The 15,354-nt window shown below is 37.3% G+C and overlaps 1 annotated feature.

Moving 5' to 3' along the window:
• Nucleotides 5,260–5,761: an enhancer, noted in NCBI's record as "H3K4me1 hESC enhancer chr2:7695081-7695582 (GRCh37/hg19 assembly coordinates)". NCBI's record gives its function as "activates a minimal SCP1, AML or CMV promoter by ChIP-STARR-seq in naive H9 embryonic stem cells {active_cell/tissue: H9 hESC(naive)}" and the evidence as "EXISTENCE:reporter gene assay evidence [ECO:0000049][PMID:30033119]".

Here is a 15,354-nt window from a genome sequence, read left to right on the forward strand (position 1 = left end):
TGCTGACATAGGGTACAGTGTTATATTTCTGTTAGTTCTAGCTGGTTTACAGTCCTGTTAAATTCGTCTATTTTCTTATTGATCTGTCTAGATATTCTGTCTATCATTCAAGGTAGCTAATTGAAGTCTCCAACTATTATTGTAGAACTTATATAAGTTAGCTTAACATTTTGCAACATCCTCCCCCTTGAGATGATACATTTGGCTACTGTAGGTTTTATCTGGGGCTTGTAGGCTAATAAACTGAGAAGAATGTACTATCCAAGTGTTTGGAAAATTGAGATGAGTCTTTTGCTGCCTCACAGCGTGAAAACAAAAGACTTGTATTAAGTACCATGGCAGTAAGAAGTTCCGAAACTATAGACTATAGGAAAATGAATCACTTTTTAGTGAGCTTGATGTTCTATTATACTTTCTCTGTGAAAGCATTTGCTTCTAGGTGTAGAAATTAATAGAAGAGAAACCAAGTTATTACTTGAGAATAGGACAGGTTAAGATGACTTGATAATTGGTTTGATGTGAAAACTGAGAGATTGGAGAAGTCAAGAGTGAATGCCTAATTTCTCTCTTAGGCATAGCAGACCAGATACTAAATGAAAGAGACCAAAGGAGGAGCATGTTTGGTAATAAAAAATATGTTTGTATATTTGGTGTATTGAGTTGAATTTTATGTGCATTTGATAGCTCCAGGTGAAAATATCTAGCAGAGATGAATTTATTAATTTGAACTCTAGGGCTGAGACCTGTGCTGGATATGTGCATTTGGGGATTATTAACGTAGCCCCTAATAGCCTGAGGCTACATAAAATAACAAAAAATAAGCATTGAAGAAAAAGGTCAGAAGGCCAACCTCTGAAGCAAAGGGAATACTGACATATAGGGTAACTCAGAGAGGAATCCATGAAGGATTCCACCATGAAAGATTCAAAATGAGATGAGAACTGTCTTAAAGCTCAAAAGCCAAGATACTAGAGCACTGCAAGAAGAAGTGGCTGTATCTATCATGCAAGCAGAATGAGCCGTCCATGATGGCAACCTTAGAACAGAAAATCCCAGGTGAGAGCATGGCTTTTGGTAGGAAAGATTGTTTAGCAAACCGTGGAAACAGCTGATCCCAGCTCCAGATGGATGGTAGAGGAAAGAGAATCTCACTCAAGGATGATGATGTGGCAGAGGTGAAAGTGTTTAGAATTATTGTGATAAAAACAGCAGATATAGTAAAAATGAGAAATGAGAGAAGTGAAAGATTAAAATATTCAGAGGAAAGACTTGAAGAGCTTAATTTTCAGAAAAGCAGCTAGATAGTAATGTTAAATTCATGATTAATAGTAACATAATTAACTTATAATTAATTTCAAAACTGGGAGAAACGTGTCACATCTTGTATATGCTCGTTAGATTGTTGATTTATTTTTTATCTTTTTATTTTAAACACTTGTGGGTACGTAGTAGGTGTTCATATTTATGGGACACATGAGATGTTTTGATACAGGTATGCAATGTGAAATAGGCACATCATGGAGAATGGGGTATCCATCTCTTCAAGCATTTATCCTTTGAATTACAAATAATTCAATTATACTCTTTAAGTCATTTAAAAATGTTCAACTAAGTTAGTATTGACTGTAGTCACCCTGTTGTGCTATCAAATATTAGGTCTTATTTATTCTTTCTGACGTTTTTTAACCCATTAACCATTTCCACCTCCCCACCCCGACAGTGCCTTCCCATCGTCTGATAACCATCCTTCCACTGTCTGTGTCCATGAATTCAATTGTTTTGATTTTTAGATCCCACAAATAAGTAAGAACATGTGATGTTTGTCTTTCTGTTTCTTAATTATGTTGTTTATATATTCTATTTCCCCACCTTAAAACATTGTACTTATTTTAACAATTTCATTAGTATATAATCGAACAAAATGTAAAGTATGTGATTTTTATATTTTCCGTATATTAATATACTTGTGAAACCATCACCATTATCAGTATAATGAGTAGATCCATCATTTCCAAAAGTTTACTTAAGCCTTTTTACAATTTATCCCCCATACCACCCCTCTTCAACCCCCTCTCCAGGGAACTATGAATCTAAATTCTTTCACTGAGGATTAGTTTGCATTGTTTAGATATTATACAACAGAAATATAGAATATGCCCTCTTTCTTTGACTTCTTTCACTCAGAATACTAATTTTGAGATTAATCCATTTTGTTGCATCTATCACTAATTATTTCCTTTTTATTTCTTAATATCGTCACATTGTATAAATATACCACAATTTGCTTAGCCATTCACTTGTTAATATAGCCATTGTCTTGTTTTCAGTTTTGGGCTGTTACAAATAAAACTATGAATATCCACATACAAGTCTTTTTGTGGACATGTTTTCATTTGTCTTGGATAAATACCTAGGAGTAGAATGGCTCAGTCAAGTGGTGGGTATATATTTGGTTTTTAAAGAAACTGTTAACTGTTACCCAGGGTTGTTAAACCATTTTGTTTGCAGCAGTGAATGAAAATTCCAGTTGCTCTGCATTTTCATCATTTGGTGTGGTCTTTTTAATTGTAGATATATTAACAGGTGTGTGTAAGTATATTGTTATGATTTTAATTTGCATTTTCTTAACAATCAATTCTGTTTAACATCCTTGAATGCATTTGACATCTTTATGTCTTTGAACTAGGTATTAAAATCTTTTGCCCATTTTTTTTTTTGTATTGTATTGTTTATCATTATTAAATTATATACCATTCTTTCTGTATCCTGGATACTTTTCCTGGATCTGATGCATGATTTACAAATATTTTTCTTTAGTCTGTGCAGCTCTTAATTTTACTGAAGCACTATTTATAAATTTACTTTTATTTTCATGGATCACGCTTTTGGTGTCAGGTCCAAGAAAATTTTGCCTAACTAAGGTCGCAAAATTTTTCTCCTATTTTTTCTTGATGTTTGATGGATTAAAGTTTGACATTTATATGTATAATGCATTTGGAGTTAAGTTTTTACATGCTGGAAGGTATAAATCAAATTTTATTTTATTTAATGTGTTTTGTATGTAGATCTACAATTTCTCTAATATCGGCAATACATAATGATTTGCTTTTGCTGTGTCTTGTACTTTAGAAACATCATTAATTTTATGTTTTGAAATACCTAGTATATTTTTACTGAATGCTAGACATTGTGTATTTTTTAAAAAATGATACAGGCTCCAGGTGATATAAACTCTCCACCACAAAAGAGTCACCACATTTTTATACCAGACACAAAAAATCAGGGTTGATCATCCTAACCCAGTTAGAGAGTAGGCTAGGTTTCAATTTCTGTAAGGATCTGTTTAGCTCCACTTTGTACTTGCATTTTTAATGTACTATACGATATCTAAGGCAAGACTCTTAACGCAAAGTTCTCCAGGACTTTCCATTGAGAACCTTTGTGTATCTGCCAAGGCCCTGACCATGGGTGGATGTTGAAGCCTAATCCTTGCCTTATCAGCACTTAGAGAGCTTTCATAATCTTCCAGCTTAGTTTCTTAGTTTCCTACCCCAAGACGCTTCACAATTCAGTGACGAGCTTCATGGGAAAACTGGCTGCATGTCTTTCTCACCTCTCAATCACTTTCTTCTCATCACAATCTTTCACTTTCAGTCTTTAGTTTTTCTCTCCAGCTCCACATGACCACTTTATCCTCTTAATCCTATGTCCCTGAGCCCCACAGGACCACCAAGACTGCTCCTGATCTTGTATCCTGAGCAGCTGTGATCCACTGCTGGCCGGAACTTGGATTCCCAGCTCTTGCCTTGTGTCCAGAATCAGCAAAGAAATTCCCTCAGAAGGAAAGTGGCTTTAGGATGTCAGTTTACTGCTTTGGGTTTATCCCTCTGAAATTTCTCTTCCTCTCCCTTGTCTTTTTTCTTCAGTAGTTCTCTGATGCCTCTAAGTAGTTTTATTTTTTTAAAATAAACTTGTACTTCTTTAGTGTTTTCCCATGGGAGTGTTGGCCTCCAAGCTACTATGTTCTGTTCAAAAGCAAAAGTTTGATACAGCCTCTTCCCCTTGGCTTGGTAATTAATCTTAGCATTCGCTCGTCTGTTCTCCCTGTTGTCTCCATTTGTATTTGTCATTGTTGTTTTACTTGTTAGACGTCCACTCTATTATCTTCCACTGAGATTGAAATATGTGTGTATGTTATTTCTTATTCTTGGTTGTTTAAAGTTTAAATATCATCCACTTCTAAATTTGTGGATGCAGAAAATTCACTTCTCATAGATGCAATATATCCCTTTTTTCCTCTGAGAAGATGATGGGGGCATCTTTTGCCTCCAGGTTCTATGGACTCAGAGTGACACTTCCATCTCTCATTGATGACTGTTCTGTGTTTCAGGCAGAAGGGCAGTTTCCAGGGGGGTAAACATACAACGATGACTTGAATAAACATCTCTTTATTTTATTTTAAATCAACCCAGTCTCATCAGCTTTTTCTTTTCTTTTTCTTCTTGGTTATGAGGGGAAGGCTGGAAAGAAAACTTTTTTTTTTTTTTTTTTTTTTTTTTTTTTTTTTTGAGATGGAGTCTCGCTCTGTCGTCTAGGCTAGAGTGCAGTGGCACAATCTAGGCTCACTGCAAGCTCCGACTCCCGGGTTCACGCCATTCTCCTGCCTCAGCTTCTGAGTAGCTGGGACTACAAGCGCCCGCCACCTCGCCCGGCTAATTTTTTTTTTGTATTTTTAGTAGAGACGGGGTTTCACCGTATTAGCCAGGATGGTCTCGATCTCCTGACCTCCTGATCCGCCCACCTCAGCCTCCCAAAGTGCTGGGATTACAGGCATGAGCCACCGCGCCCGGCCTAGAAAACTTTTTGTCATTACGACAAGAGCCTCAGTAACCAAGTACACAGACCTCCATTAGAGATTTGGGAAAGAAGAGAAGAAAACACATGGATGTCTATTTATTAGTTTTTTCTGACATATCACATGTTTATCTCCAGGATTTCCTTGTATAAAATCATCACAGGGCCTTAGGGGTCTTTGCATACCACATACCCAGGAAACCTGACTTGCATATTAGTAGGAGTTCAAAGAGAGCGTGGTCAGTTGAATTGCTGCTAGAATCGTGGGGCGACAAGTAGCCAGTGGAGAAGCTGCCAAGAGGGTCATCGGAACCTTCTGCCAGCAGCTGAAGCACAGGCAGCATGGCAGCTAACGTTGAATGAGAAGCAAGTAGGCTTTAAGAAATCAAGTTCTCCATGTAGGTGGGGAATTTTGTTATTTCACTGAACCATCTTAACTTTTCCATATAAATAAGAAATTTAAAAGTTAATGAAAATGACTGTCGGGCAGGAGTGGTAACGACTCCTGTCAGGTTCGTGCGGCTCATCCTTCCTCGCTAATGAGCTAGGGCGAGCTGATTTTCCCCTCTTCCTTTGGCTCTCTCTTTAATCAGTGTGATGTATTCTTGGACTGCCTTTGTGGTTTTTGTGTGGACAAGATGTTTTCAAGCCGATTTTGAATATAAAAAGGGGGTAGGACAAGGACAGGAGCATGTCACTGCTTAATTTTGCATTAGCATTTCAGGTTATTCCAGCTCCTTAATTTTATGACTTTGTTTACTAACTATTAGAAAGAAAAGCGATCAGAATCAAATTGCCTCGCCTGCACCTGCATGGGCCCGGAAGTGATTTATGGCATCACTGCTACCAGGCTGTTCCCTGGGATGTGCCCCGAACTTTGGCAGCCTCCACCTGGCTGGGCTTCATTTTGCAGCCCTCCTGCACATCGGCCCGGCGCTGCGAGGAGGAATCGGCCACACACAGACCTGCTTCAGCCCATGGCTGAGTTGGAGTCTGTCTTCCTTGGTGATGACCATTCAAAAGCTACTGTAAGCTTTTCAACGTTGTAAACCCCCATCTATTTCAGATCCTGTGCTTACTTCCAATTAATCTGAATGGGAGTTGCATAGTTCCAGTGAAATTTTATTCTTATTTTGTGTTTTCTTGGCTTTATTTCCCCTATAAATTCAGAGCAGAGGTTGAGACATGGCAATTTTTCATCATGATTGCATCTCTCTTGGTCTTCCAAAAACATGGAAGGGTGTGAATAGCTCGAATAATTATCATTTCCTTCTTCTTTAAAATGGCTATCATGTATTATTTACCTTCCTAAAGACATGGTGAAAGTAAATTTCTTACATGCATTTTTCAACATGCAACATGTATTTACTGAGTGTCTACTCTAGGCCAAGCACTGTTCTAAGAGTAGAAAATACAGTGGTGTATTAGGTAGAATATATTCCTACTCCCATGAAGCATTCATTTAATGAAGTCAGTCAATACAGAATCTTTCATAAAATAAGTATTTTCTGATACTAGAATATTATCAAAAAGAAAATAAAACACTGTAAGAGTAAGGGCTAATGTTTTAGAAAGAAGTGAAACCTTTTACCTGAAGCCTTAGGAATTGAAGAATTTTGGAAAGGGCATCACCCAGAGATTATAGCAAGTGCATAGTGAGTCAGGAGACAGGGTGTTTAAAGTTGATAAGCAAGACGACCGTGGCTCACGTATGGTGAAAAAGAAAAGGGAGGGAGTGCATGGGACTCAGGGTGGAGATGTAAGCAAAGGTCACACTGTATAGTTTCTTATATTAGTCCATTCTCATGCTGTTAATAAAGACATACCCGAGGTTGGGTAATTTATAAAGGAAAGAGGTTTAATGGACTCACAGTTCCACATGGCTGGGGAGGCCTCACAGTCATGATGGAAGGCAAATAAGGAACAAAATCATGTCTTACATGGCGACAGGAAAGAGAGCTTGTGCAGAGGAACATTTATAAAACCATCAGATCTGCTGAGACTTATTCACTACCATGAGAACAGTATGAAGGAAACCATCCCCATGATTCAATTATTTCCACGTGCCCCTCCCGCTTGACATGTGGGGATTATTACAATTCAAGGTGAGATTTGGGTAGGGTCACAGTCAAACCGTATCAGTCCTTATGGTACATTGTAGGAAAAATAGAAACACATGTATATATATATATGAATTATTTTTAGCAGGAAAGTGCTTTGATCAATTCCCTCTTATAAAGATCATTTGCTGTTGGCAAGGATGTGAAGAAACTGGAACAAGGATTTATGCACTATTGGTAGGAATGTAAAATGATGCAGCTACTATGGAAAACAAAAAGCAGTTTCTCAAAAATTTAAAATAGAATTACCACATGATCCAGCAATCCGCTTCTGGATGTATACACAAAAGAATAAAAAACAATGTCTCAAAGAGATATTTGTACATGTTCATAGCAGCATGACTCACTATAGTCAAAAGGGGGAAGCAGCTAAGTGTCCACTGATGAATTAATGATAAGCAAAATGTTGTATATGCATACAATGAAATATTTAGCCTTACAAGAGAGGAAAATTCTGACATGTGCTGAGCAGGAATGAGGACATTGTGCTAAGTAAAAAACAAAAGAAAACCATCACACAAAGACAAACTGTGTTTCCACTTACATGCTGTACCTGGAAGAGTCAATTTCATAGAAAGAGAGGTAGACAAGTGCTGGCGGAAGAGAAAAAGGAGAGTTATTTAAAGGTTGCATAGTGTCAGTTCAGGATGGTGAAGAAGTAGAGATGGATGGTGGTGATGTTGCACAACAATGTGAATGTACTTAATGCCACTGAACTGCACACTTAAAAGGCTAAGATAGTGAATTTTATGTTAGGTATATTTTACCAAAATTTAGAACTTTTAAAAAGGAAAATATCATCTACTGGTCTTTAGAGTACAGACTTCAGAAGCCCAACATAAAATCATGCAGACCTGTAGGAAGCTGTTGCCTATGTCCAGCCCCAGACATGATAGTAGCTTGCACTATTAGTCACTTGTAGCCTTTACTAGGATGGTTTCTGTGTAGGTGGAAAATGCAGAGAGTTTATACACAGCCCATTCCAGGAATTTCATTGTAAATGTAAGTAGAGAATTGCAAAGGCATCTTAGCTAGAGAAGGTGTTGGGTAATGCAAGGGGTGTGTGTGTGTGTGTGTGTGTGCACCCTTAGCACTAAGAATGTTGATGGGAATATCCATTAGAAAGGGAAATAGTGATGAAGAAGAGAAGGAAATAGTAATTGAATAAGAGAGGGAGAGGAATAAAAAAGCAAAGCTTTGAGGTACCTTTGAATCAGATCTAGTGAAAATTTAGAAGTGTTGTCTTCAGATAGGGGTAAGAAAAGGTCATTCATGGTAAAAAGTGGGGCAGTAAAAGCATGGGGGGCAGTGCCTGTATACTGGTACTCTAAATGTCAGAAAAATGATACTATTCTCATTTAATTATTTCAGCTTCATCAGTGAAATGAGAAGTGAGGTTATTACTTGGGTGTGAAGAGGGTACAAATAATTGCTGAAGGTTACAGTAGAGAGTAGAAGTTTGAAATTGTTGTCTTGCTGAGTGACAAAGCTAATTACTTAAGGGCAATGCAGTAGCATAGCCTAGTAGGACTTACAGTCCCTTGGGATTTGTGACAAATGTACGTATGTCATTTATTCCTCAAAGCATTCCTACAAGATAGGTATCATTTTACTAGAGTTATAGGTCTAAACCTGGGGCTGAGAAGGCAGAGTAAGCAGGGGGCCATGTTCCTTTTGTTTGTACAAGGCCACACCTCTAGGTGCAGGATCTACTTAGGATCTGCCAATTGCTCAGCACCTGACATTTCTGTTAACCTTACTAGGGCAATATCTTAGCTTCCACTAACAGAGAGGATCAAAGTAAAGTTTAGGCAACTTCCCAAAGTCACAAGAGGCAGAAGTAAGTTTCAAATAATTCTGGCTCCAAACTCTTGTCTTCCACCTACCCACACACTCCACACAGAGCAATGTCCTCAGGCAGGGGTGGAGATAAGCTGAGGGAGATAAGCTGAGGGAGAATAACCAATTCTCTTCATTCTCCCAGGCCACAAAAAATTTATAGTTGCATTCTATGTGTATTTAAAATGATCTAAAATATCAATTTTGGAAAGTTCACAGATTCAGATCCCAGGTACACTTAGGTTTTTACCTCTTTGTTGAGAAATAAAATAATCTGAGGCCTAACATTAAACAAAGTCAAAACTACTGCTGAGTTTCCAAACTTCTAGTTCCACGTGATCTGTTGTTGAAGTTGCTAGCAGAAGGCATTTTATCTAAATACATTGAGTTATTTGGAAATGTCCATCTTAATATGCTCAAATATGATGTTTTCCCAGACAAAGGTCAAAGTGCCCAAGTACAGTTAAGGGTCAGAAAAATTTGGAGTAACTGGATTTGTTGCTTTTCAGTCTGAAGTTTAGGGAATAACCTCGAATAAGCTTTGTTATTCAGTATGGTCTCTCTCACTATTTTATCTTTTTATGAGCACCTTCAAATCAATATACCTTGTCACTTGCTGACATATGAAAATGGTTAAAGATTTTATCTCAAAATAAAATATTTCATAATTCTTCCCTGGTATAGCTTTTTCTATCATTGAATCTAAAATTAAATTGATTTATCATTTGTAAACATAACACCAAATGCAGAGTGATAGAACTGATTACATTTTTTAAAATTCATCTATATGTCAAAAATACTATAAACAAAGTTAAATAGCAAGCTGTGAAGAAAATTGCAAAGTGCAGATCAAAAAATCCAAAATGTATGATAGAAAACAGAAATACAATAATATAAATATAGACAAAGCATATAAAATATAATTCACAATGAGAAACACAAATGCTCAACAGATATAAAAAAGTTCTTCAAATAGACAAATGGGATTACATCAAGCTAAAATGCTTCTGCACAGCAAATAAAATAACGTACAAATAGAAGAGACAATGTATGGAATGGGAGAAAATAATTAAAAACTATCCATATGACAAGGGATTAATTGCCAGAATATATAAGGAACTCAAACAACTCAATAGCACACACACACAAAAATGATTTGAATGTGGGTGAGAGACCTGAATAGATATTTTCTAAAAAAACACATACTAATGACCAACAGGCATATGAAAAAAGGCTCAACACCTCTAATCATCAGGGAAATGCAAATAAAAACCACAACAAGATATTATCTCACACATGTTAAAATGGTTATTATAAGAAGGACAAAAAATAATGGATGTTGGCAAGAATATGGAGAAAGGGGAATGCTCATACACTGTTGATGGAAATGAAAAGTGCAGCCACTATGGTGAGCAGTGTGGAAGTTCCTCAAAAACACTAAAAATAGAGCTACCATATAATACAGCCATCCCACTCCTGGGTATATATCCAAAAAAGAAAAAAGAGGAAATCAGTATGTCAAAAAGACAGGAACACTCTCCTATTTATTGCAACACTACGCAATAGCCAAGACATGAAACCAACCTAAGTGTCCATCAACAAATGAACAGATAAAGAAAATGGAGTATATATATACACAATGGGATATTATTCAGCCATTAAAAACAATGAAATCCTTGCCATTTGCAACAACATGGATGGAACTCAAAGTCATCAGGTTAAATGAAATAAGCCAAGCACAGAAAGACAATCATGACATGCTCTCACTTATATGCAGGAGCTAAAAAATGGGTCTCATGGAAGTAGAGAGTAGAAAGATGGTTACAAGAGGCTGGAAAGGGTAGGGTGGAGGGGGAGATTAAGAAAAATGTGTTAAGGGATACAAAATACAGTCAGATAGAAGGAATATGTTCTAGTATCAATAGTATAGTAGGGTGACTATAGTTAACAATAATTTATTGTGTATTTCAAAACCTCCAGAATAGAAAAATTGGAATAGTCCCAACAGAAAGAAAAGATAAATGTTTGAGGTAATGAATATACCAGTCACCCTGATTTGGTCATTACGGATTTTATTCAGATAGATATTCCACTACCGCATGTATGCCCCAAATATGTACAACTAGTATATATCCATTTTTAAAAACTAAAAGATTCTTCAAATTACATGCATAAAAATACAATGACTTATAATCATTAGCCACTGATTAGAAAATAATCATCTCAGGTTAATCATAAATTTATCATTATCATTAAACTGAAAATGCTAAGGGTTTGTGAGTGTGCAGAAACTTATTATCCACTTGGTGTGGGTAAAAGTTTTATGGAGGACAATTTCAATTTATATATAAAAATTTTAAAATGTTCACACTTTTTAGAAAGCAGTTTCACTTCCAGAAATGGTTATAGTAACCACAGCAATAATTAACTGAATGGGCAAACATATAATTACAGAGTGGCAACCTTACAAACTTGCTCACATTGCTGGGACCATTGGAAACCTCAGAATAAAACACATGGGCAAACTGAATCCTAACAAACATGTAACCATTTCTCTGTCTCCCTTGGGGACTCAATGTAGTGTTGCTTATATTGAGCATTTAGTCAACATATATTTAATGGTTATGTAGTTTAACTGTAAAAGACCTATACAGGAGCTGATAGAAATGAAAAGACATATAGTAACCAATTCATTATAGTAACTCAATCCTCAAAACTTCTCTGCCAGTTGAGTTAGACAGAGTCCTTAAGTTTTATGAAAAGTATATGGAGATGTAAATGTTCAACTTACAAATATTTTAAGAGATATGTGTGTAGTGAATGGGATAATACTTGTAAAATTTCTAGAACAGTGCCTGGCATATAGCAGGGGTTCAGAACCTAACAGGTAATGTAATAAAATTACACCAGTGTGTGTGTTATTATCAAAGATTCATGGCATGTTTCCTTTATAAATGGTTCTTCCTTTCTTCTCTTCCCTCCATTTTTCTCTCTTCCTCCTTACTTCTTTCATCCCTCTCTTTCATTTCTTTCTTCTAACATTTTTGAATATCTAAGATGAGTCATGCATTTTACTAGGCACTGAAATAAGTAAAAAACCAATACCATGTTGTCGTTGTTGTTTTTCTCATAGAATTCATAGCATAATTGATACAACTAGCTTTGAAAGAAGCAATGTCATACATGACAAGCAAAATCTCTAGCATCTGAAGCTAATTCTACTTGGATAAAATTTTAAGACTTTTGTTTGTAGTGGATTTTGAAGACCAAATTGTAACATATAAGACAGAGAAGGCAGAGATGCCTTTTCTTGCCTATGACATAATTTTGCATTTGAAAGGATATATGAGTTTTGGAGACTGCAGGAACTGGAGAAATAATAGGAAGAGCTTCAGACAAAGCAGGTGAAAATAAGTCACAGTAAGTATGGAAAAGATATTGAAAAAGATGAAAAGGAGTTTGTGCTTGATCCTATATAAACAATTTCAAGAAAAACAATGGCCTGATACATTTTGTTTGTGAGACTAGCATGCTGACAATGATAAGGACAAATTAACTACGACCGCACCTGATTTAATATACACCTTCTTTGAAGAACATCTACCATGGGCCTAGAGTGTGCCTGTGTTACTCAGTGCCAAGGGTGTGCATGCATTTCCTAAAACAGAATGAGCAATGTGTTTATTTCTCCTGTGAGCCTTTCTTTCCTCAGGTATCTAATAGCTCAGGGAGGGTCTGCTTCCTTCATTATTTATTCAACAAACATTATATTACTCTAAGTTGAACTAGAAGAAAGAGACACAAAGAATATAAAGGCATGGTTTCTTCTCTCCAAAGTATTACAGGCAAACAGGACAGGAAAGAGCTTAACTGTCTAGCAATGGGGCATGATCAATGCTACCGTAGACATGTACAGTGGAAGAAAAATGGAGGGGACATTGACTATTCTTGGAAGAAACATTTTCCCAGGATAGGAAACACTCAAGGCAGGTTTCGATAGATGAAATTGGACTTTACAAGGAGATGAAGGGGAGAAACGCCTTCCAATCCCATCTGTTTTCGTGATGCTCTTTTTCTTTTCTTGGTGCTTTGCTTTGACCCAATAGGAAGGGAGGGTTGCCCTCTCCTCCAGAGTCCTGTAACATACTGCCATTTTCAGTATGGCCCGGGGCTTTGAATGTGCCTGAATAGCATGTATGCAGTCTTATTGTATCATTAGACAAGCTCTTTGAAGTAAGTAAAATAATTTTAATTTTATAAACAAGGTAAACCCCAGGAAATCTAAGTCAGTAGTCATTACGACTATATCACATATGCCTCTGTATTGACAATTACCTCCAAGTACCGCCACATGCTCCCAAGTAAGAAGAGGAGTCCCACTTATTTATGCTGCATCCCCAGTGTAGCGGTGTCGAGTGTAGCCTTGGACCCAGCAGGTGTCCTAAAATATTTAAGGAATGAACAAATAAATTAATGCGTAAGCCCTAGAAATAGCTCTTGAGACTTGGCTACTTCCACCAGATATGAAGATCTTTTGTTTTATATGCTTTGCCTTCTGAACTAAATTATTTCCCTCTTGAGGGCAGAATATCTACCTTAATCTTTGTAACCCCCCATAGCACCTAACACAGAGCCCTGTCCAATGTAGGAGAACTTGACAGATTTTTTTTAAAGTAAATTACCCATTTTCGATAGCTTTTGGAATAAACTTCAGTCCACCTGCTTAGTTTTGTAAAACCATATCTAATCCCATTAGGTAGGTTTTTGCCTTACTGCTATTCTGGAAGAAATTGAAATCATTGCCCCCCCTCCAACAACGCTCTTTTTTTCCCTAGGATGTTTTTTTTTAGCTCTGGGGTTTTAAAATACCTTCACACATCCTAACCTCTGTGGCTAATATGACCCATGCAGAGACCTTCTTTCCTCTACGGAAATTAATTTAAAACGTGGCTTTTGCTGGAGCAAATTCTTAGATCCCAATAGGTTTCATTCTTATAAGAAATCTTAGCAAATTGTAATTAAAGGAAAAAATTAGGGGGTAAAAAAGGGTGAAAAACTACCATCTTAAACCTTGACTGCAGTTCTAACCTACATTATTGTTTTGTTGCTGTTTTAGCCAAGTTAAATTGTTGTTGGAAGTAAATTTTGAAAACCACTTTCCATACCATTTAAAACTCCAAATTTCTGCCCCTCATTTTAACTTTGAGACATTAGTATCTCTGGTGAGCTTGAAACATAGTTCTCTAAGAAGAGAGCTGCCATTTTCCCTGCAGCTGTTAAATTGCTGTGAGTTGGCACCAAACTTGCTGGAGTACACCTTGAGGTTCAAGTGTGTCTGTGTGGTGGTGAGTGCTCAGAGCCTCCCCACCTGCTGTGTCCGTTAATGGTCACTCTCTCCTGAATGAAAAATGTGAGAATGCAGATTTCAAAATGACTGCCATCTCTATCTTTATTGAAATCTTCCATTATTGTGGGAAGACAGGTAAATAGAGATGCTGGTCAGAAATCAAATTAACCAGTAAAGAACTATCGATGAGCTGGCTGCACTAACGCGGAATCTCTGTTACTCCCACTCCCATGAAGCCTGCTGTGTCCAATGGCTAGTGAACAATTCCAAAACCGTGGTGACAACTTCTACTTCTTTTGGGGGCCTCTACCAATTTCATAACATATAAATTATGTTCAATCATTATGGTTGTTATGTATTTTTCAAATCTATCCTTCTCTCATCTGTGCTATGCCAATACTTTCATTCAGGCTCTCCACACATTTCCCTGAAAATTGTTAAAAGCGTCTGATGCTGGGTTCATACCCATAATCTCGACACTTTGGGAGGTCAAGGTGGGAGGATTTCTTGAGGCCAGAAGTTTAAGATCAGCCTAGGCAACATAGTAAAACCCCATTTCTACAAAAAAAAAAAAAAAAAAAAAAAAAAAAAACTAGTGTGCACGTTGGTGGGCATCTGTAGTCCCAGCAATGCAGGAGGCTGAGGTGGGCAGACTGCTTGAGCCCAGGTGGCTGAGGCTGTAGTGAACCATAATTGTACCACTGTACTTCAGCCTGCATGGCACAAGGCGACCCTGTCTTAAAAATAAATGGATAAATAAACAAAGAAGAAAAATCCTCTTAGCTGGTCTTCTTGGGGCATATACAACAGAGAGGAGCAGAGAAAGTCATCGTATGTAGAGCTTAATGCCATGTGATTCTCCTCAACTGACAGGAGACGTTATTACTTCTAACATCACCATAAGATTCAATATTGTTTCCAATGTTTTACTCACCATCTCTGTGGAATCATCATATCTGCCCACTGCTTTGTGGTTTGCAGTGACCTCCCCACCACACTTTCCCCATGGGAAGAAGATTCTTCCCTGTCCCGTTCGCATGGGCTCAACCACAGGGCATGCTTCAACTAGATAAATGTGCAAAAGTGTCAAGAGCCATGTAGAAGCTGTGATAGCCATCATCTCGTCTGGTCATGCCATGTTCCCTCTGCCAGGGGACGGGCATATCCTAGATAAGAACTGCTCCTTCAGCCTGG

Source organism: Homo sapiens, chromosome 2, assembly GCF_000001405.40.
Source record: "Homo sapiens chromosome 2, GRCh38.p14 Primary Assembly".
Classification (NCBI taxonomy): domain Eukaryota; kingdom Metazoa; phylum Chordata; class Mammalia; order Primates; family Hominidae; genus Homo; species Homo sapiens.